The sequence below is a fragment of the Homo sapiens genome, chromosome 2, assembly GCF_000001405.40.
Source record: "Homo sapiens chromosome 2, GRCh38.p14 Primary Assembly".
NCBI lineage: Eukaryota > Metazoa > Chordata > Mammalia > Primates > Hominidae > Homo > Homo sapiens.
In genome coordinates this window covers 120634062-120660350 of record NC_000002.12, presented here as the reverse complement: position 1 = coordinate 120660350, position 26289 = coordinate 120634062, and the positions used below count along the sequence as shown (strand labels likewise).

The 26289-nt window shown below is 46.0% G+C and overlaps 1 annotated feature.

The window, feature by feature from the left end:
* Nucleotides 4922–5422: an enhancer, noted in NCBI's record as "H3K4me1 hESC enhancer chr2:121412505-121413005 (GRCh37/hg19 assembly coordinates)". NCBI's record gives its function as "activates a minimal SCP1, AML or CMV promoter by ChIP-STARR-seq in primed H9 embryonic stem cells {active_cell/tissue: H9 hESC(primed)}" and the evidence as "EXISTENCE:reporter gene assay evidence [ECO:0000049][PMID:30033119]".

Sequence of the window (26289 nt, the reverse complement as noted above, 5' to 3'; positions counted from 1 at the left end):
ATCTCACTCTGTTGCCCAGGCTGGTCCCGAACTCCAGGCCTCAAATGATCCACCTGCCCCAGTCTCTTAAAATGCTGGGATTATAGACATGAGCCACTATGCCTTCCCTGTTCAGGCATTTCAAAATTGGTCAGAAATCTGGCTTTGCCTTTGGCGGTTTTCCCTTGATAGGAAGTTGCAGGCTGTCAAGAATCTGCTGGTATGGGGGAGAGGTGATAGTGGTGGGGAGAGAGGTTGTGACTTGCCACAGTGGCCTGGAAGGGGCCTGTGTTCATTTAGCCTGAGCCCTGCTTTCAGGCAGGGACACACTGAGCGGCCAGGCTCCCTTTGAGTTAGAGCATCTGAAGTTCTGCTCCCACATCCTCTGTTCCCAAGGATGTGAATGTGGTCCCCAGGGCTTGCATCCTGGCTAGAGGAGCACAAGACACCCCCTTTGCATGGTGACCTCCCTGCGGAAGAGATGAGTAATGAAGCTCAGCAGCCTGCCCAAGCACCAAGGAAAAAGGCGTCCATCATCTTAATGGTACCTTTGAGCTGTCTGGCTGACCTGCGGCCTCTTCCTCATAGGCACCCCTCCCGAAAGCATTTGATGTGAGCTATTCCTGGCATGTCCTGTGGTACAAAAGTGCGGTTCATCTTTTCAAGGAGACGTGAGGAGGTTGAAAGTCAAAGCCATTGGAACAAACCTTGGCTTTGGAGGAGAGTCAAGTGCTTATTATGCAAGTCCTTGCTCTCCCTCGGCTGAAGGCAGCACAATGAGCAAAACAGAATTTTGGGGGGATTTGGCAATAAGGACAAAAAGGAAACAAGATCTACGCAGTACATACCGTCTCCACAGGGAGATTGTGGCTCTTGGGCACTAGCCCACCTAGAGCAAGTCAGTCTCCACATCACCTAGGATAACCCAGGTAGGGAGGGAACACGTTGGGTCACTCTGCCCTGGAAAGGTTTAGGGGAAGAGTTGGGGTTCTGCATGGCCTGGCCTTGGAAGAGAGATGTGTATCCCTGCTCCCATGCCCATGGCCACCATCTTCATGCATGCAGTGGCTGATACTGCTGTGAAGACAGGCTTGGACTGGGGCTGGAGAAATCTCTACTCTTGTTTTACTGAGAGCTTGAACCTCTTTGGGTCTCTTTTTACATTATAGGACAACAGGCCTCATATATACTAGTTTCCTTCTCCACCAGAAAGGGGCCAGAAGCAAAGGCTGATAACAGTGTCTCTTGGCAGAAAAGTTATTTTAGCATCCCAGGAGGGCTTGCTGAACCATGACCCTTTGTCCTTTGGAGAAGGAAGGCAGGGTGTTGCCCATCAGTGAGGATGTGGGTACTGGGGCCACCCAGGGCCTTGCTTACCTACTGAAGAAGGGAAGGTCCTCAGAGTATGTAACTTTTCAGGGCTGCTAGGGACACAACTCCACACTGTGGCCAGGATTCTCCCTGGATTAGGGGAGTGTGGATGAACAAAGTCTGCTGTGATTTTTTTAGGGAGGGAGAGAGAGAGAGTTAGATCTGGGAGATCAGGTGGAGAGCTCATTCATTTCCCGGGGGCTGCTGCAGGGGCACGTGGCAAAAGGAGAGCTTGGTCAGGCCTCCCACTGTTTCAAAAAGAGAGCCACTGTGCTTTTGTTTCTTTGACATATCAGAGATCTAATTATGATTTCCAGTGGGCAAAGGATTCCTTAGCTAAGTTTAGAAACCGCTGCTCAAAACTATTGGCCTGTTGGGCAGGAAACTCCTTGAAAACCTCTTGCTTTTCGTGCCAGGGCCTCTGTTCTAATTTCCTATCACTGCATTACAACACCACCTCCACCCCCAAACTTAGTGGCTTACATTAGCAATTTATTGCTCTTTCATGGACTGACTGGGCTCAGCTGAGTGGTTTTCACTTGTTTGCAGTTAGACTGTGGCTGAAGCTGGAGTCCTGAGCCTTACCTGGGCAGGTCTTCCCACATGGCTTGTCACTCACGTGTCTGGTGCCCTAGCTGGGATGGCTGGGAGGGCTAGCGTCTAGCCAGGCAGCACTCTCCATGGGGCCTTGCTATGGAGACTTCCTCACAGCATGGTGGAGGCGGAGTAGTTGGGCTTCTCACATAGCCTGGCTTCCTCCAGAGTGTGTGATCCAAGAGACCCTGGCAGAAGTTGCAAGGCTTTTTACGACTTAGTTTTGGAAGTCACAAGCATCATTTCCATGACATCCTGCTGGTCCAAAGCTAATTACAAGTTGAGCCCATCCATATTGGAGGGGAGGGGACTACGAAAGTGAATACCAATAGACTAAGCTCCTTGGAGGACCATCTTTGGAATCTAGCTATCCCCATCCTGGAAAGAAGGAAGAGAACATGCCCTTCCACTGTAAACACTGTCAGAAGCTGGATTTGGGGGTCTCAGTCAATGAAGAATTGTCCAAGCTCCAGAACTGGGGTCCTCAGAGTGGGCTAATGGAAGTCCACCCCTTGCTACTTGTCTAAAGTTCTTTTTATAGAGAATAAAGGCTTCTGTTGCATAAACAGTGAGATTTAAAATGCCACTACCCTTTCAGAAGAGCAAACCCAAACCCCTCTGCCTCAGAAGGCAAGTCACATTTCCAAATAAATCTCTAATGGAATTAAGCAGGGATGTCTGCTTTCCTGTCCAGGCTGAGAGTCATCCAAAGCTGGCCTCTTATTTCTGACAACTGCCCCTTGTTGTCAGAGGGGCAGTTTTAGATTTGCCCCTCTAGATTAAATCAGTTTTAGATTGGCAAATCTAAAAGCAGGAGTCAGCTCGAAGGTGAGCAGGAGAGGGAAGCAGGGAGTGGCCTGGTCTTCCTTGCCAGGCCCACACTAGCAGGAGACTCCTGGCTCCCTGGAATTCCTGCTAAAACTCAGACTCTCGTAATAGTAAGTTTCAGACACTGTAATTTTTCCCCAATAATTCTTCCAGGCCTAGCTCAAAACCAAATCCCTCGTTTTGCTTTAGCCATCATAATTCCCAGGGACTTAAAGGACTCCCCCAGACAGCCAAGCACAATCATTTGACAAATGCACGTTTTCAGCAGATTGGTAGGAATATCAGTGTTCCCTCTGTCACCACCATCCACTGATGCCTCATGATGCCTGAGAGCCCACCTTTGGGGGAAATGTTTGTGCATGGGTAAGAGGCACAGGTAGACAGACTGAGAACACTGGGAGAAGAGCTGCCTGCAGATGTGACTATGGCGGCTGTGGTGGGGGATGCAGGTGCAGATGAGGGGCAAAAGTGCAGGTTTATGTCCTCTCTTGCTAAACTGTGGGGAGAGCGCAGGGGGCTCCTGGCTGCTGTGGGCCGCATTGGCATTTTCAGGGATCCCAGCTGACCTCTGATGTCCAGGGCACCCACTCTTTCTCATCCCACCAGGAGAGAGAGAATATCCTCCGAGTGCCGTTGCTGCTTGGAATCGAGTAAGCAGAGAAGGGAGAGGGAGAGGGCCTCAGGCCCCATGAAAGCAGCTGCCACTTTATCTTAGGAGGGGACCCCAGGGAGCCCTTGAACCCGATGTCATTTCTGTCATACATAGGGAGAGGCGCGGGTGAGCGTGTGTGGGGAAAGAGAAATGCCGAAGAAACAGTTAGCCTCTGTTCATATTTGATAGGCAGCCAAAGCACTTTTGTTCCCAAGCCCGGCGAGCTACCCGTGAAAAAATAAATTGCTTTTCAAGAACATTCATCACAGCAAGTGGCTCGTTTCCTTGTCCTCAAACAACCCCATTCCTAGGCCCTTTCCCCCATTAAAAACTCCTCAGATGTGGTAAAATAAATAAAGAAGCCCAGGGGAAGTGTGGGGCGGTGCCGGGCGCTGTGGGAAGGTGGTAGGGAAGCGGCAGACACCCGGGCCTTGGGATAGGGCCCTTTCCTGATTCTCCTCCCTGAGCAGAGGGCCCTGGGCTCCACACGTGTGATTCTGAAATTCAGGAGCAATGTGCTGTACTTTACTAGGCCTGTCCTCTAGATCCCCGTCCTTTCGCCTGCTCAGAGAGTCCCTCTGGAACACCCCTCTATGGGGGAGCTCTCCCTCCCTGTCACTCTGTTCTGTTATTCTGCAAGTTTCCTTCATGATCTCGTCCCGATATGCAATTATGAATTCATTTGCTTATGGTATACTCCCCAATCAGTGTCAGCATTGCCAGGCCTGGGTAGGGACACGCTGTCTTGCTCATGGGTGTATCCCCGGCACATAGCAGATGCTCAACAAATAAATGAGCAAATCCAAAGTGTGATGCTTAGGGTCAAGTGTACTGCCCCATCCACAATCTCATCTTCCAGAGACTCTTTTTTCGACATCCAATTCCCAGATTAATTGCTGTGTCTGGGGCCTGTTGTGCAGCCCCTATGGGATGGGCTTAGCTAGTGGGTGTGAGGGGCAACTTGCTACAGAGCAGGTCACTGAGCTGTGGTTTCATTGCGTGAGCTTGAGTAAGTCACTTCGTCTCCCTGGGCCTCAGAGTCCTTTTCAATGAGATGAATTACTTACCTTATGGCATTTCTGTAGAGGTTACCGTCAGTGTGGGGAACATGGAAAGCCATTTTGATTATGAATTTGATAACCATGAACTCTCTAACTCAATAAAATATCAATAAAATATTCAGGAATTTCTGGGCATCTAGACCATGATGGCTCTAGAAAATTCTCCAGGTCTGAGATGTTGGCAGGAGCTTGTCTTCCTTTTAGGTGTGTGCAAGAGCCACACAGGCACGTTTAGACCACAGCTTCACCCAGGCTGGCATTTAGTAGAAGGACCCCACCTTCATATATCCCCCCATCAAGGAGGATTTTCCTTCAGGTGGCTATGGAGAATAAGGCTGTTAGTCAGACTCATCACTCAGCAACAAGAATGGTTCCAGAAGGGTCTAGGGCACCTAATGCCATATTTTGGATTTGTTCATTCGTTCAACAGGTATTTGCTGAGCGTCTACTATGTTCCAGGGTATACACCTGTGAACAAGGCTGCATGGTGCCACCCTGGTGGAGCTGGCACCTAGCTGGTAGACCACAAACGAATGAATGAATGATTGCACACTGGCATTAGCCCGTAAAGGAAACGCAGAGTGAGTGATGGAGAGTGAAGGGGAGGAGATCCTGAGTTCTGAAGCAGAGTGGGGGAAGGGCTGGGTGCAGAAAGGAGGCCAGAAGGTGGGCGGTGGACAGGAGGGGCAGAGGTGGGCGAATGGGCCCTGAAAAAGCTGGAGCAAGGGCGTGACTACAGCCGAGGTTCTGACGTCCGCAGTGCCAGCGCCAGCCCTGCCTCCTGGTCCCTTCTTAGGCCGGCGCAGGGGCATAGCCAGGGAGAGAGCTGGGGAGTCCGGAGCCCGAGAAGGGCTGAAGCCCCCCCCTGCCAACACCCCGGTTGGCCCCAAACCAGCCGATTCTCTTTTCGCCACAGCTTAGCAGAGCAAAGAGCACCTGGCTCCTGGCCAGGAGGCTCCTTTGGGCCCCCAGCGACCCGGCGGCTGCTCGGGCCACCTCTTGCAGCACCGGGCGACCCACATCACTGTGCTTGGGTTTGAGAACTAGAGACGGACGCAACTTTGTTTTCTTAGTAGTCAGAAAGGGCTCCTTTTCAGGCCCTACTAAGAATAGCTTAATTTATTCCCGCTCTCTCGGGCTGCGAAGCGGGGCTTGGTGGGGCCAGTGGCTGGCCTGGAGCGGGGCCTGCGCGACGGTAAAAGAGCGGGCCAGGCGGGGAGGCCCAGACGTTCCCCGCATTCAGACAGGGCACTCAGCCCATTCCGCCCCCGGCCTCGCCCAGGCCCCGCCCCCTGCCCCACCGCCGCGTCCATTGGCTCGCTCGCCGCCTTCCGCGCTCTCATTGGCTCTCACGAGCCCTCCCGCAGCTGCCTGACCTCTGCGCCCTCCGCTGCCCCGCAGGTGAGAGCAGCGAGAGGCGCGGTCTTTGGGTGTGCGGTGGCAGAGAGAGAGCACGCGTGGAAGGATGCTGACACTGACCCAGTACAGGGCTAGGACCGGGCGGGAGGTGTCAGGGGGCGCACAGGGACGGCTGCCATTTACTATCTCCCACGTACCCCAGATTTCCCGTTACTTCATTCAGCCCTTACAACAACCTTGCAAAGCAGATATTATTATCCCCTCGGCTTATAGATGAGCAACGTGGTGGTCGAGAGTTAATGGGCTTGCCCACAATCACACAGCTAGCACGATTCAGAAGTATGATTTGATCGCTCTTGTGTGTGATTTCAAGCACTGCACCCCCCGGCACCTAATAGGGTGGTGCGCCTATCCTAGGGATTGGAGGGATGACAACAGCCGGAGGGTGCACGGAGGTACCGCCACACTAGGTACCGGCTTGGTCTGCTCAAGGGAGGCATCCCAGGGAAATGACGTCCCAGGGAGATGGCACTCACCTGCTCTTCGGAGACACAGTGGAATTTAGGGTGGCACTGACAGCCAAGATGGCATAGGAACAAAATTGGCCAGAATGGGCCTTCACATGAGATCAGTCATTTGGCGACTCAGTCAGCGCAAGAGTCGCCACTGACATGGGCACTGAATATTCTTTTTGCACAGCATTTTACATCTGAAAATCCCTTCACCTCCATGGTCTCATTTAACTACAGTACCAAAACAATTCTGTAAAGTTGGCATCATCCTAATTTTGCAGAGGACCAAAAGAAGGGCTAATGAAGACCGATGAGGACAACATACTGTTTCCCGTATTTGGGGAACTTTACATCTCACGTAAGTCTCACCACAGTCCTAGGAGGTAGGCATTGAGCAAACCAAACTCAAGGAGGTTGAAGAACTTCCTTAGGTAACATGGGGGTTTAAGAGCAAGGTTCTACCTGACTCCAAATGCACTCGCCTTCAATCAGTTATTCTACTGTTCTTTCAGATCCTGAGCCAGCCTGAGGAATAGATGAAGTCAGTAGTTACTGAATGAGAAAGACTTGAGGAATGACAATAAGGCCCTATGCCCCCAAATACCTTTTACCCCCTTCAACTCATTGTAGATAGCTGAAACACTACCATTGACAATTGTTTTGTTGGGTTAAACATTGAGCCACGAGAATCTTAAAACGCAAACTTCCCTGTATGGGAGGAAGGCAATAATTCCATAGCATGATTGAGAAAGGAAAAAATGTTTGGAAGTTCCACTAGAGTTATTCACCTAGCTAAAGCATCTGCTGAGTTATGTTATTGTCTTGACAACCATCACCCATTTCACCACCTCCTACATAAATAAGGATAGTTCTGTGATAGATCACAGTGAAGATAAAGCATCTAGACAGGTTCCACTTTAGGGTAGAATGTAGTAGGTAGCAGCAAACCACTTCTCATCCTGTGGCACCTAGAAAAATTTGAATAGATTACATAAAATGTATTTTGAAGACATTGGATATCAGTGGAAGTTAAGTGGGCAAGATAAAACTAAAGTTTCAGAGATGGGAAAAGCATTGCTAGCTGAGTTGACATTACTGGTCCTTTTTCCTCCATGAGGTCTTCTGCTGACTGAGTGTTGGGCTTGCTGTAAGTAGGGAGGGCTCCTGGGGGAAGGAGATAACAGCAGAGATTTTGACAGCCATGTGGACTGGCCTGGCTGGCCAGAGAGTAGTGAAGCCTCAAATTCACTGCCAGCTGTCCCCATAGAACACGGAGTGCTGGGGGTGGGGGTACGATGATGCTGGGGGACTGGGTTACCAAGGCAGAGTTTTCAGTCCTTGGAAGGAAAAATTCAACTAGAGTAAAAGGCCTTCAAGAAACATTCATAAATATCCTCCTTAAAACGTTTGCCAGCTACTTTCCTTGCATGTGCAAGGAGGCAAAAGAGCTAAGCTCAGAACCCTTGAAGAATAGAACTTTCAAGGCCAAAGAGACAAAGTCTGGTCTCACAGTCAAAAACTCAGGAGGGTCATGCTTGAGAAGGAAGCTGAGCCTCATAGACTCATGGTGCTTGGGAGGTAAAGTCCTACTAGAAGGAGGAGGCTGTGAGGAGCCCATGACATACCTCATCCCTGAGACATTGGAAACCAGAGCTGGACTGACTCTGACACCAGAATCCACCTCCAGCCGGGCTCAGCTCCTGATTGGATTGGAGTGATCAACCCTTCACCTGATCTGCCTAATAGGAGATGAGTGACTGCTTTCTGTGGAAGAATAATAATGACTTTAGGTTCTAGGACTCTTTTATACATAAAGTCAGAAATTCATTATAAAAATTACAAGACAGAAATAAGTAGGAAAACATGACCAAAAAGCATAACTCATAGGGAAAAATACAACAGAAATTCTCAAATATGAATAACATTTTCATATCCTCTTGGTGTGTGTGTATGTGTGTGTATGTGTGTGTGTGTGATGTCATCAGTCTTGACATTGAAGCCAAATTTGGGGTTTGTCTGATTACAGATTACAAGTCTGCCTGAGTCCACTCAGGCTGCTGTAATGAAATCCCATGAGCTGGGTGGCTTAAACTACAGACATTTATTTCTCACAGTTCTAGAGGTTGGAAAATGCAAGGAGCAGGGTGCCAGCAGATTCAGTTCCTGGTGTGGGGCTAAATTTTGGCTTGTAGCCTCCTAGCTTCTTTCTGTGTGCTCACATGGTGGACATAGAGAAGTCTGATGTCTATTTCTTACCTTGCAAGGGCACTAATCCCATCAGAAGGGCACCAACCTTATGACTCCATCTAAACCTAATTACCTCCCAAAGGTCCCACCACCACACACCATCGCATTGAGGGTTAAGGCTTCAACATATGAGTTTGAGGAAGACATAAACACTCAATCTATAATGCAGATTGTCATAAAAAGTCTGATTCCATTAAACATTTTTAAAATTTCTTTTCTATTTTTTTCTTTCTTTCCTCCTCCCTTCATTTCTTCCTTCCTCCCTTCCTTTCTTCCTTCCTTCTTTCCTGCCTTCCTACCTTGAGGCCTTCCTGCCTTCCCTCCCTCCCTCTTTCCCTCTCTCCCTCCCTCACTCTCTCTCTTTTTCTTTCTTTCATGGCTAGCCAAATGAAGCAGTGGAAGTGAAGAAGGAACAAGTAAATCTGTCACTGTTTATGATCAATTAGTTGTACATACCACTAAACTCAAACCACTCTGACTCCATTTTTGATATTTGAGTGCTGACAGTTTTAAAGCTCCACCACCTTCTCTTTCTTTTACATCAGGTCTTACATCTGGGCCAACTAGTAAGAAAGCCCAGGTGCTCCCTCCTTTAGCCTCAGCAGGAAGTTTAAACCATGCAAGTGCTGGCCCATGCATGGAAACCCTCACCCTCAGCTCCACCATCTAATAACCCCAAAGCCAGTCTCCCTTTTCAGCTATCTGAAGCCATTTTTGGTCTTTCTTGAGAAGTTTCCAGGCTCTTCACAGAAATTCTCAAATATGAATAACATTTTCATATCCTCTTGGGGTGTGTGTGTGTGTGTGTGTGTGTGTATGTTTGTGTGTGTGTGATGCCATCAGTCTTCACATTTAAGCCAAATTTGGGGTGAAGGTGTTTATCTCACCACCACAACACAGATGATTCAGCTATTGGAATTATTAGGAAAGAATCTGAATGAAGTTATTATAAATAAATAGACTATAGAAAGATAGACAAGATAAATTAAAAGATAATTTCTACAGAGAATTGGAATCTATAAAATTCAAATAGACAGTTCAACAATGGATTGTTCAACAACAATCTGAAATTAAGAATTCATCGAATGGATTTAATGGCAACTTGAACACAAAAGATGATAGGATTAATGAGCTCAAAAACAGGTATATAGAAAATACTTAAGCTGAAATACAGAGAGAGAAAATAATGAAAATAAAATATCTGAGTAAAAGACACATACTGGGACACAATCAAAAGGTATAACACACATATAACTGGGTTCTTAGAAAGAAAGAAGGGAGAAATAATAAGGCAAGTAATATTTGAAAAGATAATAGGCAAGAATTTTCAAAATCAGATAAAGAAATCAACTCACAGATTTAGAAAGCTTAGTAAATTCAAAGGAGAATAAATACAAAGAAAATTACACATAGAAATGTCATAGTCAAACTGTGAAAACCAAGACAGGAAGAAAATGTTAAAAGTGGCCAGGAAAAATAAAACACATTACATTTGAAGAAGTGACAATGAGTTATGGCTGACTTGTTAATAGCAACTATGAAAACCAGGAGACAATGGAATGGCAACTTTCAATGCAGAAAAATTCTATACCCAGTGAAAATTATCTTAAAAAATGAGGGCGATTCATGTTTCTCTTTCTATTGCCTTCCCTTTTCTTCCCTTCCTGATCAATCTAGTTCTAAAGCCATTAGATGGGGCAGAGCAAGGTAGGTATCTGTGGTTTTGGGGTAGCGGGAGTGGAGGAAGTCACCACAGCTCAGAGCAGGGTGTCAGGGTCAAACAGATTGAGGCAGGGTCAGACAGATAGGGGCAGCCCCATGTGGGATACAAGTGACTCATCAGGATGAAGAGGGCATCCACTCAGAGAGGCTGGCTGGGTGTGGTGTGGAGAGTCAAGGCCCAAGCAGGGTGAGGAGGGAATCCTTTTTTTTTTTTTTTTTTTTGAGACACAGTCTTGCTCTGTTGCCCAGGCTGGAGTGCAATGGCACAATCTCGACTCACTGCACCCTCTGCCTCCTGAGTTCAAGCGATTCTGCTCTCTCAGCCTCCCGAGTAGCTGGGATTCCAGGCATGCGGCACCATGCCTGGCTAATTTTTGTATTTTTAGTAGAAATGGGGTTTCGGCATGTTGGCCAGGCTGCTCTCAAACTCCTGACTTCAGGTGATCCACCCACCTCGGCCTCCCAAAGTGTTGAGATTATAGGCATGAGCCACCACACCCGGCTGGGAATCCTCATGTTGGGGGAAGCAGGTTCAGCTTGGGGAGTCAGAGAGAGAGTTATGAAGGAGAAAATAGAAAGAACTCTGTGATATTGGTTTGGAATAGGATATCTGTGTGGATTTATGAATATATGTGCCACACACATATATAATATACATACATACGCATACATACTTATTACCCAGATTTTGGCTTCTAAATAACATTTTTCACTGAAAGGGAACTAGGAATCCTTGGAGAAATGGCTAATTTCAGGACTGGGGCAGGGAAAGGATAAGATGAGTTCACAACACCTGGTGCCAAAATGCAAGGAAGTGCCCAAAGAAGGATGGGGACATGTCAAAAGGACACAGGAGCCACCTCAAAGTGTCCCCTACTGGTCAAACCAGGCACAATCTGAACATCAAAATAAATAGTAACAATGGATTACGACCTTTCTTTCTTTCTTTCTTTCTTTTTTTTTTTTTTTTTTTGAGATGGAGTCTCGCTCTGTCACCCAGGCTGGAGTGCAGTGGCGTGATCTCAGCTCACTGCAAGCTCCGCTCCCCAGGTTCATGCCATTCTCCTGCCTCAGCATCCCAAGTAGCTGGGACTACAGGCGCCCACAACCACGTCCGGCTAATTTTTTTTTTTTTTTTTTTTTTTTAGTAGAGACGGGTTTTAACGGTGTTAGCCAGGGTAGTCTCTATCTCCTGACCTCGTTATCCTCCCGCCTCGGCCTCCCAAAGTGCTGGGATTACAAGCGTGAGCCACCACACCCGGCCAGATTATAACCCTTTCAATAAAACAGGAAAACATGAGCTTATACAACTATAAAGAAAATAGGTTGGACATGGTGGCTCACGCCTCTAATCCCAGCACTTTGGGAGGCCGAGGCAGGAGGATTATTTGAGGCCAGGAGTTCGAGGCCAGCCTGGCCAACATGGTGAAACCCCATCTCTACTAAAAATACAAAATTAGCCAGGCATGGCGTTGGGCACCTGTAATCCCACCTACTTGGGATGCTGAGGCAGGAGAATGGCTGGAACCCAGGAGGCAGAGGTTGCAGTGAGCTGAGATCATACCACTGCACTCCAGCCTGGGCAACAGAGAGAAACTCTCTCTCAAAAAATAAATAAGAAATAAAGTTCAGTGAAGAGCAGGACTTTAAACATAGTTTAAAAGCACCTCGACTGGGGCACGGTGGCTCACGCCTGTAATCCCAGCACTTTGGGAGGCTAAGGCAGGCAGATCACGAGGTCAGGAGTTCGAAACTAGCCTGACCAACAAGGTGAAACCCCATCTCTACTAACAAAAATAAGCCGGGTGTGGTGGCACATGCCTGTAATCCCAGCTACTTAGGAGGCTGAGGCAGGAGAATTGCTTGAACCCAGGAGACAGAGGTTGCAGTGAGCCAAGATCATGCCACTGCACTCCAGCCTGGGCAACAGAGCAAGACTCCATCTCAAAAACAAACAACAAAAAAAGGCCTCTCCACAACAGACTTACACAAAGGGGGAAAGAATAACATTATATTAGAGAAGACTGGCAGACCACATTTTAATCAAATGATCAAAGTAAACATCACCAAGGATGGGACAAATTGCTATGCAACACCCGCTAGGATGCAATGAGAAGAATGCAGCCCCCCTTCCTTGATAGGTCTGCTGAAGACCCGTCCCCTGAATATAATGCTGCAGATCAGATTATGAGAGAAATGCAAATTGAGGGCAATTCGGTGAAGTATCTAGCCTGTAATCTTCAAAACTATCAAGGTCAGGAAAGCCCAGGAAAGATCAAGAAGCTGTTCCAAACTGAAGGAAACTAGAAAGACATGGTGACTCGTGCCGAATGATTGCAAAGCATGATTCCTTTTCTAAAGACGTCATTGGAACAATTGGCACGTCTTAAACAGGATGTCAGCTAAGATAGTAATGCATCATTGTTAATTTCCTGATGTTTAAGGTTGTACCTTGGTTTGCCAGAGAATATTTAAAGAAAATATATGCTACAGCATTCAGGGTGATGAGGCATCAGGCTGGCAAAATACTCTCAAATGGTTCAGGCAAAAAAAATTCTTCATATTCAACTTTGTACTTTTCTATAACTTTATGATTGTTTCAAAAATGTAAAAAGGCTAAAATTTAAAAAACAAAGGCAAAGTAAAGACATTTTCTTACTAACAAAAGCTGAGAGAACTTATCACTGGCAGACCCACACTACAGGAAACAAAAGGAAACACTCCAAATGCAAATGCCTCTTGAGTAGCTGGAACTACAGGCACATGCCACCATGCCCAGCTAATTTTTTTTTTTCAGTAGAGATGGGGTCTTACTGTGTTGCCCAGGCTGGTCTTGAACTCCTGGCTGGGGTCAAGCCATCCTCCCATCTCAGCCTCCTAAGTAGCTGGGACTACAGTCACGTGCCACCAGGCCCGGGCTAAGACACACTTTAAATATAAAAACATAGAAAGATAAACAGTCAAAAGATGGCAAAAGTTGTGTCGTGCAAATACTAACCAGATGAAAGGTGTGGCTGAAATAATAGCAAAGTAGACTTCGTGCCAGAAGTAGTAATGGAGTTGAAACATGACATTTCCTAATGATAAAAGAGTTAATTCAACAGGAAGACATAACAATCAGAAACTTGTATGTACCTAGTAAGAGAGCTTCAAAACAAATGAAGTAGAAAATAGAAGAAAGAGAAATAGGCGAATCTGTAATCATAGTTGGAGATTTTAACAAATCTCTTTGAGCAACTGATAGGAAAATCAGATAAAAGGTCAATAAGTATATAAAAAAATGAACAACAGAATTAATCAACTTGGCTTTACAGACATTTATATGGAACACTACACCCAGCAACTAGAGAACACACAATCTTTTCAAGTGCATATTTACCAAAATAGAACATGTGTTGGACTGTAAAGCAAGTCTTAACAAAGTTCAAAAGATGAAATCACGCAGGGATGATCTCTGACCAAAGTGGAAATAAACAAGAAATGAACAAAAGAAAGATTATTAGAAACCCCAAATGTTTGTGCGTTAAGCAGAATACTTCTAAATAACTTGCAGTCAAGAAAGAAATCGAACAGAAAATTAGAAAATATTTTGAACTGAATGCAAATAAAAATGCTATATACAAATACCTGAGATAAACAGCAAAAGCAGAGATTAGAAATTTGTAGTTTTAAATGCATACATTATAGGAGAAAACAGTTTAAAACCAGCATCTACATTTCTAGCTCAAGGAGCTAGAAAAATAACAACGTAAACCCAAGGAAAGAAGACAGAAGGAAATAAAAATAAGAACAAAAATTAATGAAATATAAAGCAGATACAGAACAGAAAAGTTTAGCAAAGCAAAGAGTGGATTATTGAAAAGATAATAAACTTGATAAACCCAAAAACAAGAAAAGAGACAACACATTACCAATATCAGCAATGAAGAAGATCATGTAGATATTAAGAGATAAAAAGAAGTTATCATTACCAAAAAAAAATCTATAATTCTGCAAGTTAAAGAACTAAGACTGGGCTGGGCTCAGTGGCTCATGCTTGTAACCCCAGCATTTTGGGAGGCCAAGGCAGGAGGATTGCATAAGCTCAAAAGTTTGAGACCACTTTGAGCAACATAATGCTACCCCATCTCTCCAAAAAAATAATTAGCTGGGCATGGTGGTGCAAGACTGTAATCCGAGTTACTCAGGAGGCTGAGACAGGAGGATTGCTTGAGCGCCGGAGGTAGAGGCTGCAGTGAGCCATGGTCACACCACTGCACTACAGCCTGGGTAACAGAGCAAAACCCTGTCTCAAAAAAAAAAAAAAAACAAAAAAAAAAAACACCAACCAAAAAAACCCTAAGACTAAACATTGATGAAGTCTAATTTACCTAATTTTTCTTTTGTTGCTGGTACTTTTGGTGCCATATACATGAGATTATTACCAAATCCAATGTCATGAAGCTTTCCCCTTAATGGTATTATAGTTTTAGTTCTTAAGTTTAGATTTTGATCCATTTTGAGTTAACATTGCACATTGCATAAGGTAAAGGTGCAACTTCATTCTTTTGCATGTCGATATCTAGTTTTCCCAATATCATTTGTTGAAAGGCTGTTCTTTTCCCCATTGTGTGGTCTCAGCATCCTTGTCAAAAATCAATTGACCAGGCCGGGTGTGGGCTCAAGCCTGTAATCCCAGCATTTTGAGAAGCTAAGGCAGGAGGATTGCTTGAAGCCAGGATTTCAAGACCAGCCTGGGCAACATAGAGAGGCTCATCTCTATAAAAAGTAAAAATAGTAGCTGGATGTGGTGGCCTTTGCCTGTAGACTCAGATACTCAGGAGGCTGAGGTAGGAGGATTGCTTGAGCCCAGGAGTTCAAGGCTGCAGTGGGCTATGATCGCACCACTGCATGCCAGCCTGGGCAACGGAGTGAGAACTTGTCAAAAAAAAAAAAAAAGAAGGAAATCAATTGACCATATAAGTAAGGGTTTATTTCTGAGCTCTCTATTCTACTTTCATTTTTAACAGTGTTTTTCCATATATGATTGTCCTTGTGCCAACACTATAGCATTTTATTTGTTTTTTTATTTTTTATTAAAAAATTTGTTTTTCAGACAGAGTCTCACTCTGTCACCCAGGCTGGAGTGCAATGGCGCAATCTTGGCTCATTGGAACCTCCGCCTCCCGGGTTCAAGTGATTCTCCTGCCTCAGCCTCCCAAGTAGCTGGGATTACAGGCACCTGCCACCACACCCAGCTAATTTTTGTATTTTTAATAGAGACGGGGTTTCACCATGTTGGTCAGGCCGGTCTCGAATTCCTGACCTCATGATCAGCCCGCCTCAGCCTCCCAAAGTGCTGAGATTGCAGGTGTGAGCCACCACGCCGGGCCCACTATAGCATTTTAATTACTGTAGCTTTGCAGTAAGTTTAGAAGTCAGGAAGTGTGAGTCCCTCAACCATTTTTTAAAGATTGTTTTGACTGAGGCTCCTTGCAGTTCTATAGGAATTTAAGGACCCACTTTTCTTTTTCTGTGAAGAAGCTATTGAAATTTTGATAGGGATTGCATTGAATGTGTACATGGCTTTGGCTTATGTATGTAATCTTTTAAAACACAGAACAATCGTATCTATTATTTATGGTCACACACCTATGTAGAAAGAATAAAACCCTGGACACACCAAAGTTGAGATGGTGGTTCCCCCAGGGGCGGTGGGGTTAAGTTTAGGGAGGGGAAAGGAACTGAGTAGGGATTCACAGGGACTTCGAATGTACCTGTAATTTTTTGTGTCTAAAAAATTGGAAGCAAACACTGCTATAATTGTCACTACTGAGCGGGTGAGAAATGGCCATGGCTAGGACTAGGCTTATCTCTCGTGTAAGGATGCATGACCCTTCCTTGGTCACCCCTCTCAACTTCTGTCCAACTTCCCAGGTTGAAGGCATGGAAACTGAAGCCCAAAGAGGGGCAGCATCGGGCCCAGGTCCCCACCAGATGTGTGAACGGAATCTTTCCACGGTGCCTGACAGCATCTCTGGATTAGGCAAGGCCCCTGAGGGAACTTGGAGCTGTACTTGCTCAGAATTCTGGGAGCAGAGGGTGGGCTTATGTGAGAGAAGAAGGGCCCTTAGAGCCAACGCCAGTTAGGAGCTTCTGCAGACCGCAGTGCAGGCTGGACACTGTGCAAGAAGCTTCAGGGCTGAGGGTAAGAGGCGGGTGGGGACCCCAGGGATAAGGGTGAAGGGTCTTTAGGGCCACTGGAGTAGCCCCTCAGGACTCACCCGAATCACCCATTTAGGAGCTGCAGAGTCACTAGGGAATGAGCTGCTCCACGTCCGTGAATGTGGTAGACGGAACAATGGCCCCATCAATGATGCCCACGTCCTACTCCGCAGAACCTGTGAACATGTCACCTTACATGGCAAAGGGACTTTGCAGAGTAAGAGGTTATCCCAGGTGACCCAGCTGGCCTCTATGTCATCAGGAGGATTCTTACTAGAGAGAGGTGAGAGGGCCAGCATCAGAGGAAGGAGGTGTGACAACAGGGGCAGAGGTTGGAGTGACGTGCTTTGGAGACAGAGGAAGGCCAAGGAGTACAGGAGATCCGTAGAAGTAGGAAAAAGCAAGGAGACAGATGCTCCCCAACACCCCCAGAAGTAGCCTGGCCCTGCTCACCTCTGGATTTTGGCCTTCTGACCTTCAGAGCTGTGAGGTAATAAGTGTGTGTTTTTATAAGCATTAAACTTGTGATTATTTGTTATGGCAGCAATAGGAAACGAATACCATGATTTTTCCAGAATATGTTATACTCAAGTATTGTGATAGTTTGTATCAAAAATGACTGTAACAACATTTCCAGTCCCACTAGCTTTTCCAGAGTTTTGACACTCCTCCATTAATGGTAGGGTCTATTCTCCTTCCTGTGAAACTGTGTGGGCCTCTGTGACTGCTTTGAGGAAAGAAATAGTGTGACTTTCAATACTCAATCATAAACATTGACATGGCCTCTGCCCAGGTTTTTTTTTTTTTTCTCTGGGACATGCACTTTGGGAGCCCTGAGTCAGCATGTTAGAGATCCACCTGCCCCGAAACCCCCGTGCTGGAGAAACCATGTGGAGAGAGCTCATAGGGACAGAGAGAAGCCCAAAAGCCTCCAGCCATGCAAAGCCCAGACACCAGGCAAGTGAGCCAGAACTTCATCCACCTGTCTTCAGGCTCCCCAGCTGCTGCTGAATGGAGCAGAGATGAGCTGTCCCCACAAAGCCCTGTCCAGTTTGCAGATTCGTGAGCAACACAAATGTCGTTTTAAGCCACTGAGTTTTAGAGTGGTTTGTTCCACAGTGGTGGGTGGCTGGAACAAGTGCCAAAGGCCCACCCATATCACCCCAGGTGAAACTCAGGGAACAAATCCAACCCAATGGAGGGTAAGAGCTTCCTGTCAATTTTCCAGTGTTCCATTCTCAAATAGAAACACATACACTAAGATTACCAGACCTATGAGGACAATTCTAACATAAAAGAAATAGATCAAAGAAAATAAACAAATGAAAACAACCTGAAAGAGCAGACTATGCAGAAAGAAGAAAACTTTTAAAGAAACAAACAAACCAGAAAAAGCCACCAAAACCAATAGTATTCACATCTTTAGATTCCTAAGGGAAGACACTACATCCATAACATAAGCACAAGATACTACCAAAAGGAAACACTCTGCAAAAGCAAGAACAAAAAGGGGGAATACAGAACATACAGAACAGAAAATGAAATACAAATCTTATAACAAGATGGGAAGATAAAGATATTACCCAGAAAGCAAGGTAAAAAACCACATAAATGGAAAGGAGAGAAAAATCAAATGGTGAGTAAGAAAGTGAGAACTCATCCAGGGAATCCAAAATGTGAATAATAAGGAATTTTAGGAAGAGACAATAGAGAAAATAGAGGGTAGAGAATTGTCAACAAACCGATTCAAGAAAATTCCCCCAAACTGAAAGACAGGCCCATCAGGGCCCCAGCACAATGGAAATGGAAAATGCAGACCCAACAAGGCAAACCAATGGGCACTTTTTGAACACCTGGGATGGAGAAGGTCATGTGCAAAAATTCAGAAATCAGAATTGTTTTGGCTTTCTGAGTAGCAGCCCCAGAAAGCTAGAGGGCCTTAGAGTAAAGCTTTCAAAACTACGAAGGAAAAGGATTTCCAACTAGATTCATTGTCTATTGCTGCATAACAAATTGCTCTGAAATTTAATAGCTTAAAACAACACACATTTGTTATCTCACAATTTCTGAGCGTCAGGAATTCACCAGCAGCTTAGCCAGGCTGTTCTGGCTCAGGGTCTCCCATGCGGTTGCAGTCAAGCTGTGTGACAGAGTTGCAGTCATCTCAGGGATCAGTAGGGCTGAGCATTTTGCTTCCAAGCTCACCCATGTGCTTGTTGGCAGGAGGCTTCAGGTCCTTGCACATTGACCTCTCCATGGGCTGCTCCAGATGTGGCCTCCCCCAGAGGGAGTGATCCAGCAGATCAAGAGAGCCCAAGACAGTCTTTTATAATCTAATCTCGGGAGTGACATTCCACCACTTCTGCCATGTCCTGTTAGTCACAGACCAATAGCGCCGGGGACTATTACACAAGGAGTGAATACCAGAAGGTAGGAATCACTGGGGCCATTTTGGAGGCTGCCTATACTATACCAACTGAGAATTCTATAGCCAGCCTAAAGCATCAACCAAGTGTGAAAATATAATAAAGGTATTTTAAGACATGCAAGGTCTCAAAAATGTTACCTCTGTAACACCCTTCTTAAGAAAGCTACTTGAGGACCACCTCCACCAAAACAAGGGAGTAAACCAAGAAACAGAAGAGCCAGCCCAGGAGAGAGACTGAGGGATTTCCCCAGAAGAGGGACTGAGAGATTTTCCCAAGATTATGGAGAAGAGAGATAGCAGGATGAAGCTTTGTACCCAGCAGGTCAGAAGGCTTGGGGAGGGTCTTCTCCATGCTGACAAAATTGACAGAATACCTGATGGGAAAGAACAAATGCAAAGATAGCTAGACAATGGAGAGTTTGGTATTGAATTAGTGATCAGTACATAGAAAAGAAACAAAACAAGATAATTATTAACTCTTGGGGTGGCAGCAGGGGGGATGTGCAGGAAGGAAAAGCAAATGTAGTTTATTATATAGCTCAGTTCTGAACAAATCGCCGTAACACCATAGACAGTGAATCTTTATCCAACCAATGTCCCACGAATCTCTGCTGGGAGTTTGAGGGAGAGGCAAGTGTGTGTGGTGGGAACAAAGGGTGGCGATGTAGGGATGAGGAGAGCTAAACTCACATCTTCTTGTCTCCCAGAGTTGGGGTCAATGGATAATGCCTAGAATGAAAGCATCAGGAAGTAGCAATACTCACATGTTTTTTGTAGAGATGGAGAGATAAATAGCTAAAAGGGTTGGCATGATAGCACGTAGTGAAAAAGGAAAGGGAGAGGGTAGTGGAAGAGGTCTGGGAAAAGCTTCTTTTCTTAGCAAATCCAGTAAATCTAGTCAACCCTTTAAGTCGTGTCTGTATGTTCTTTTTTTATCATGCATACATTTTAAAATATTAATTCTCTCATGTCAAATATCCAGTCAGTTCAAAATTTCAATTTTTGAATGCATGTTCCTTTTTAAAAAGTTTGTTAGAACTTAAATCAGGGGCCAGGCGCAGTGGCTCATGCCTGTAATTCCAGCACTTTGGGAAACTGAGCAGGCGGATCACCTGAGGTCAGGAGTTCAAGACCAACTTGGCCAACATGGTGAAACCCCGTCTCTACTAAAAATACAAAAATTAGCTGGGCGTGGTGGCACATGCCTGTAATCCCAGCTACTCGGGAGGCTGAGGCAGGAGAATTGCTTGAACCTGGGAGGCAGAGGTTGCAGTGAGCCAAGATTGCGCCACTGCACTCCAGCCTGGGAGACAAAGCAAGACTCCGTCTCAAAAAAAAAAAAAAAAAAAAAGAATCAGGATCCAAATAAGGATCTTTCTCTCTCTTTCTAGTTCTCATTCTCACTTTTGTGCATCCCTCTCCACTTCTGTGCCAGCTATTTGTTTGTTGAAACAGGCCATCTGACCTACAGCTTTTGCTGGATTTTTTTTTTTTTTTTTTTTGAGACGGAGTCTTGCTCTGTCACCCAGGCTGGAGTGCAGTGGCACGATCTCGGCTCACTGCAAACTCCACCTCCGGGGTTCACGCCATTCTCCTGCTTCAGCCTCCAGAGTAGCTGGGACTACAGGCGTCTGCCACCATGCCCGACTAATTTTTTGTATTTTTAGTAGAGACGGGGTTTCACCATGTTAGCCAGAATGGTCTCAATCTCCTGACCTTGTGATCCACCCGCCTCGGCCTCCCAAAGTGCTGGGATTACAGGCGTGAGCCACCGCGCCCGGCCTTTTGCTGGATATTTCTAATTGTGTCTCCATGAACTTGGCTAACATCTCCCTCTGTCCTCTGCACCTGCCGTAGTCTTGTAGTGCAGTCTTGATCAGTTTCAGCGTTGGTGTCTCTTTTTGGCAGATCTTTATCATAGGGGATCTTATATTCTTCCATAAGAGACATATTGGGGGTGATTGTTTTTCATTTTGTGATATTAGCAGTTATTGATCAGAGCTTAGATTCATTAATTCACTAGAGGGTGATGCTCCATCATTCGGCTTTCATTTCCTATCCAGAATACTTCTCTAAAAAGACACTTCTCATCTATTTGGCTACATTGTGATACAGGTCGTATAGGAAAAACAGGGTAAATGTTTGATTCTGTCATTTTATTTTACTAGCTTTTAAAATAATGACTTAGTTCATGAGCCTCCACAGGAGGTGACTAATATTTCTTAACACACTCAGTAAAACTAGCTGACACTTTCTACACCTTTTTAAGATTTTATTTTTATCAAAAACATACACACAATAAAATCTTAAAAAGGTGTATAAAGAAGGAAAAAGAAAAGGAGGAAAACAGATCATTTTTCAGGAAGCTTAAACATTCTTTCATGTCAAGGGCTAAATTTATTCCTACGCTTCTTACCAGCCGATGCCAAGAGGGGAAGAGACGGCCCACGCAGTGTACTCTGGGTTCCATAAGTCAAAGCCTTCATTTGGTCTGAACAAACAAATTTTCTTCCTGCACAAAGAGCATATTGGACATGGCCACCTCTTTTGGCTTGGGGTCATCAGCCTGGATGGTGAGGCTCCTGGGGCTGTGGAAACATGTGAGGATGTTTATCCTTGTACATCACGTGCCCAAGTGTGCTAAGTCACACCTCTGTGCGTTCACCCATACCATTCCCCTGCTTGACCTGCTTGCACTCCAGCATCTGGCCAGTCTCATGCACCCTTCCTGGCTGAGCTCAGGGGTCATCTCCTCCAAGAAAGCTTTCTCATGATTAGGCCAAGTGTCCTCCCACTTCTTCCGGCTCCCGCTGGGCCCTGTACCCCTCCTTGGCTTTCTCATTGCCAAAGCCTTGCCACCTGGAGCACACCCAGCTCATAGTAGGTGCACTGTCCATGGTTTCTAAACTGAGCTCAAGTGCTTTCTAGTGGAATTTCTTCTCTTTCTTAAGCATCAGGCAGCTAGTGGTCATGCGGTGCCTGGCCCCTCACTTCTAATCTGGAACTTTCAGTAAGTGAAAGACCAGAAAACAAGACATGCAGCAAGTTATGACTGTCTGTTAACCAAGAGTCACTAGATTCTGAGGAGGCCCAAATACCTGCTGGAGTAGATCTGACCGAGTTTAGGTCATGGACTTAGCTACGTTCCACTTCTCTCTCCACATTTGGGCTCTGAGTGTGCTTGGTTTGACTGAAGCTGCCAGGATGCTGGGTAGATGCAGGCCCCTGTTGTGAGTGTGAGTGTGGGGTGTTCGTGGTCCCCAAAGCCCCTTCTCAGCCCCAGTCTTACTCAATCCTCACCATCACCTGTGAAGCAGATGTGTGCAGGAAAGGTCGGGCTGTGGCTGCCCGTGCACACGTCACTCCACTGCCTGGGTCTGACCCTAGAGCCAGTGCCTGGAAAGGAGAGATTTTGACTGTGGATGTTTGGGCCCTGCCCTGCCTGCTTTGACCCCACTGGGGTGCTGCTCCTCCCCAGGGCCGCCTCTGCAGGGAAGCTGGCCTTCCTGACCATTTCCAGGACAGAATTGATACCACTGGGCTCTTTCCTTGGTCCGATTTCTTTCCAATTGTCTGAAGTGGAAGCAAATCTCAGGCACGCAAGAGATGTGACTTTTTAAAAATAAGTCAACTCCATTTATGTTTAGGCCCCAAGTGCTCTAAGTGGTAGACCTCTATTCTCAGCCAACCTAGGCTTTTCTTCTCTCCAAAGCTGCCCTGGAGTAGGGTATCTGGCCCTATGTGGTGTCGTCTTTCCGGTCTGGCTTCCGTCTCGTGCTGTCTTCATCTTTGTCCTGGTCCCTGTCTTCGGGCCACTCCAATTCTGCTGAATTATAGAGTCAAGTCACAGCAACTCCAATCTCATCCTCATGGGCAAATGTCTTGCTGTGGTCTGTGGCATGCGGCGTACTCAGGGACTCAGAAACCATCTCACTCTACCTGTGTCTGTCCTCAGAGCCGCATCTATGATCAGCCTTTCCTCTAAGCTAAAGCTGGGAACAGGGCTGAGTGATGGGATGATACCCATGTTTTCCAATTGTCTGAAGGCTCAGTGTTCGTGGAGAGCCGAGATGGGGAGGATGCAGTTGGCGAGATGACAGGCTGCAGGGATATTCCCATAGTTTATGTGTTTCCTCTTTCATGGGACACGTCCATGCTGATTCACTAGAAATACAAAGATAAAACATGGACCCTATGCTTGAGGGCTCAAGGAGGGAGGAGATTACAAGCCAATAATTCCAGTACCAGAAGGTGAGGGTAGCGTGGATGTAAGAAAACGAACAGTTAACATCCCTAATATGGAACAGACTTCTGAAAATTGATAAGAAAATCCAGACTTATTGTGCCAATTTCCTACTGCTACTCTAACAACTTATTACAACCTAGTGGCTTAACACAACACAAATTTGTCTGTAGTTCTGAAGGTCAGAATTCCAAAAGGGGTCCCACTGGGCTAGAAAATCAAGGTTTCTACAGGGCTGTGTTTTTCCTGGAAGCTCTGGGGGAATCCACTTCCTTGCCTTCTCCAGCTTCTAGAGACCACCTGTACTCCCTGGCTCTTGGCCTCTCCTTCTATCTTCAAAGCCAGCAAGGTCAGGTGAGGCCCACGCTGCCTTCTCTCTAGTTCTTTCTAGTTCCCTCTCTCCATTTATAAGGATGCTTGCAATCACATCGGGTCCACCCCAAGCATCCAGGATAAAAATCCCCATCTCAAGGTCACCTGATTAGCAACTTCACTTCCACCTGCTCCCTTACTTCCCCTTGGCCATGCAAGGTGACATAGTCACCACTTCCAGGGATTAGGATGTGGATGATTTAGGTGGGCCATTGTTCTGTCTGTCACACCATCCCAACAGAAAAAGAACAAAGATTATGGAAAAGGAATTCACAAGAAAGGTACAAATAGCACATAAATCTGTGAAAAGATGATCACCTTTCCCAATAGTCAGGAAAACAGAAGTTGGGAATAGCAATGCGGATCTCATGCTCAACCTCCTGGTGGCTAGAATTTAAAAGGTTAATTAACGCTGTCTGGGGCTGATAGGGATGTGGGAACGAGCATTCTCATGCCTGGTCAGAGTGCAACAGCAACATTTTGGGGAAAGGAATCTGATAATTTATCCAAAGTAAGATGCACTGACATTCTGACTTAGCAACCCCACTTATAGGAATCTATTTTCTTCAGAAATAACACATTGTCACTTCATTCAACAAGTGTCCTTGCATCAGGCACTGAAGGTGTGGCCATGGACAGATCAGACAAGGCCCTGCTCACACAGAGCTTACGGTCTCATGCGAGAGGCAGACCACAAGTCAACAATGAAAGAAAGAAACTAGAAATAGCTGCATTGGGATTAGGGCTGTGAATTCTGCTCCTAGGGCTGCTGTAATGAATGATCACAAACTGGGTGACTTAAAAGAACAGAAACGTGTTCCTTATAGCTCTGGAGGTTGGCAGTCTGGAACCAAGGTGTTGACAGTGTGCTTCCTGTTGGGAGCTCCAGGGCAGTCTGTTCCATGCCTCTCCTAGCTTCTGCAAGTTGCTGGCAATCCTTGGTGTCCTTTGGCTTGTAGACACGTCACTCCAATCTCTGTTGTCACATTACATTCTTTTCTCTGTGTGTCTTTTTGTCCAAATTTACCTCGTCTTATAAGGACACTAGTAATTTGACTAGGATTCATTCAAGTTCAGTATGACCTCATCTTAACTTGACTACATCTGTAAAGACCCTATCTCCAAATAACGCCACATTCACAGGGACCAGGGACTTCAATGTCTTTTTAGAGGACACAACTCAACCCACACCAGGCTGTGCAGATAACTTAGAGAACAGAAGAGAGCGAGGACGGTCACTTAAACTCAGATGGGCAAGAAGACCTCTCCCAAGAGGTGACATTTCAAACCTGAGCTCCAACTAAGGAGAAAGCAGTCTCTAAGAATCAGGGAAGAGCATTCTCATAGAGGGAACAGCCAGCCACGCAGCAGCCTCAAGGCAAGATTGGACTTGGTGAGTTTTGAGGACTTGCAAAACGGCCAGCGTAGCTGGTGCCTAATGAGCATAGAAAGGGTGTTACACAGTGAGCTCAGAGCAGGCAGCAGGCTCAGGTCACGCAGGCTTGAACACCAAGGACAAGGAGTTTGTGTTTTGTCTTAAGGGAGTCAGCGACATGAGCTGACCTGTGTTAAAAACTGTTGAATATAAGAACATATGTCCATGGGTGTTTATTACATCACTATTTGCAAAAAACTAAAGCAACTTGTATGTGCATTAATAGGTTGGAAATCTATGTTCTATCCATTCTACAGATTATGAGTTTCAGCTCTACGTATTCACCCAGAAAGATGTTCTTGACATACGAAGTCAAAAATAAGTTGTGCGGTAACCTGTCTGGTATACGTATGTACTAGCCCCCATTGCTCTCCAGGTGTGGACACTGGGTTTCAATGTCCAGACAGGTGTGGGCCAGGTGCTCCTTTAGACAGGGATAGAAGAGGTCCTGGTGCCTGCCTGGCCGGGGGAGACAAGGAAGCCAGGAGACTCAAGTGTTTGGAGGCACTTTCATAAAAAGGACTGAATTAAATAATTTCCAACTGACTCTGAACGAATCCTCCTCCTTAGCCCATCCCAAAGACTGGAAGCCCTCCATGACCCAGAGCCTGAGGCGCTATGCTCCTGTGGCCCTGCCTACTGGGCGTGCCGTTCTTTCAGACTTTCCAGATGCTCAAAAAGTCTTTGTTGATCTCTTGGCCCAGAAAGTTAAATGACCCTGAACCTCCATTCTCTGAGAGGCCCAGGAATGGTCCCCTCAGTAGGACTCCGACTTCTCTGGTTTCCCCATGTTCAAGTTGTTTATTGGATGGTAAAAATCAGACATCTTCTTGGAAACTGTGGTAGCACAGGAAGGGTTATTCATAATCATCACCACCTGGGAACAACCCAAAGGCACATTCACCATGGAATAGATGGAATGGAATGGAATGGACATGGCCATTGTAGTGTGGTCACACAATGGAGTCATCTACAGCACCAGAAGGAACCATCTCAGCCACACGCGAAACAGGATTTAACCTCGAAACTTACATTAAGTGAAAGCAGCTAAACTCAAAAAAACATGAAGTTATGATTCCATTTATGTAAAGCTAAAGGAGGTGGCAAGGCTGAACTGTGCTGTTTCCAGTTGCATGCCTTGTTGGCTGCATAAGAGTATAAAGAAAAGCCAGGACTTCCGGTCAGCCTGGGGAAGGGGAGCTGCCGAGGGGGCTTTGGGAGTGCCATCTCCCAGCTCTTGAGCTGGCCTGGAAATTGGCTTACTAAGTAATTTGTTAAGCTT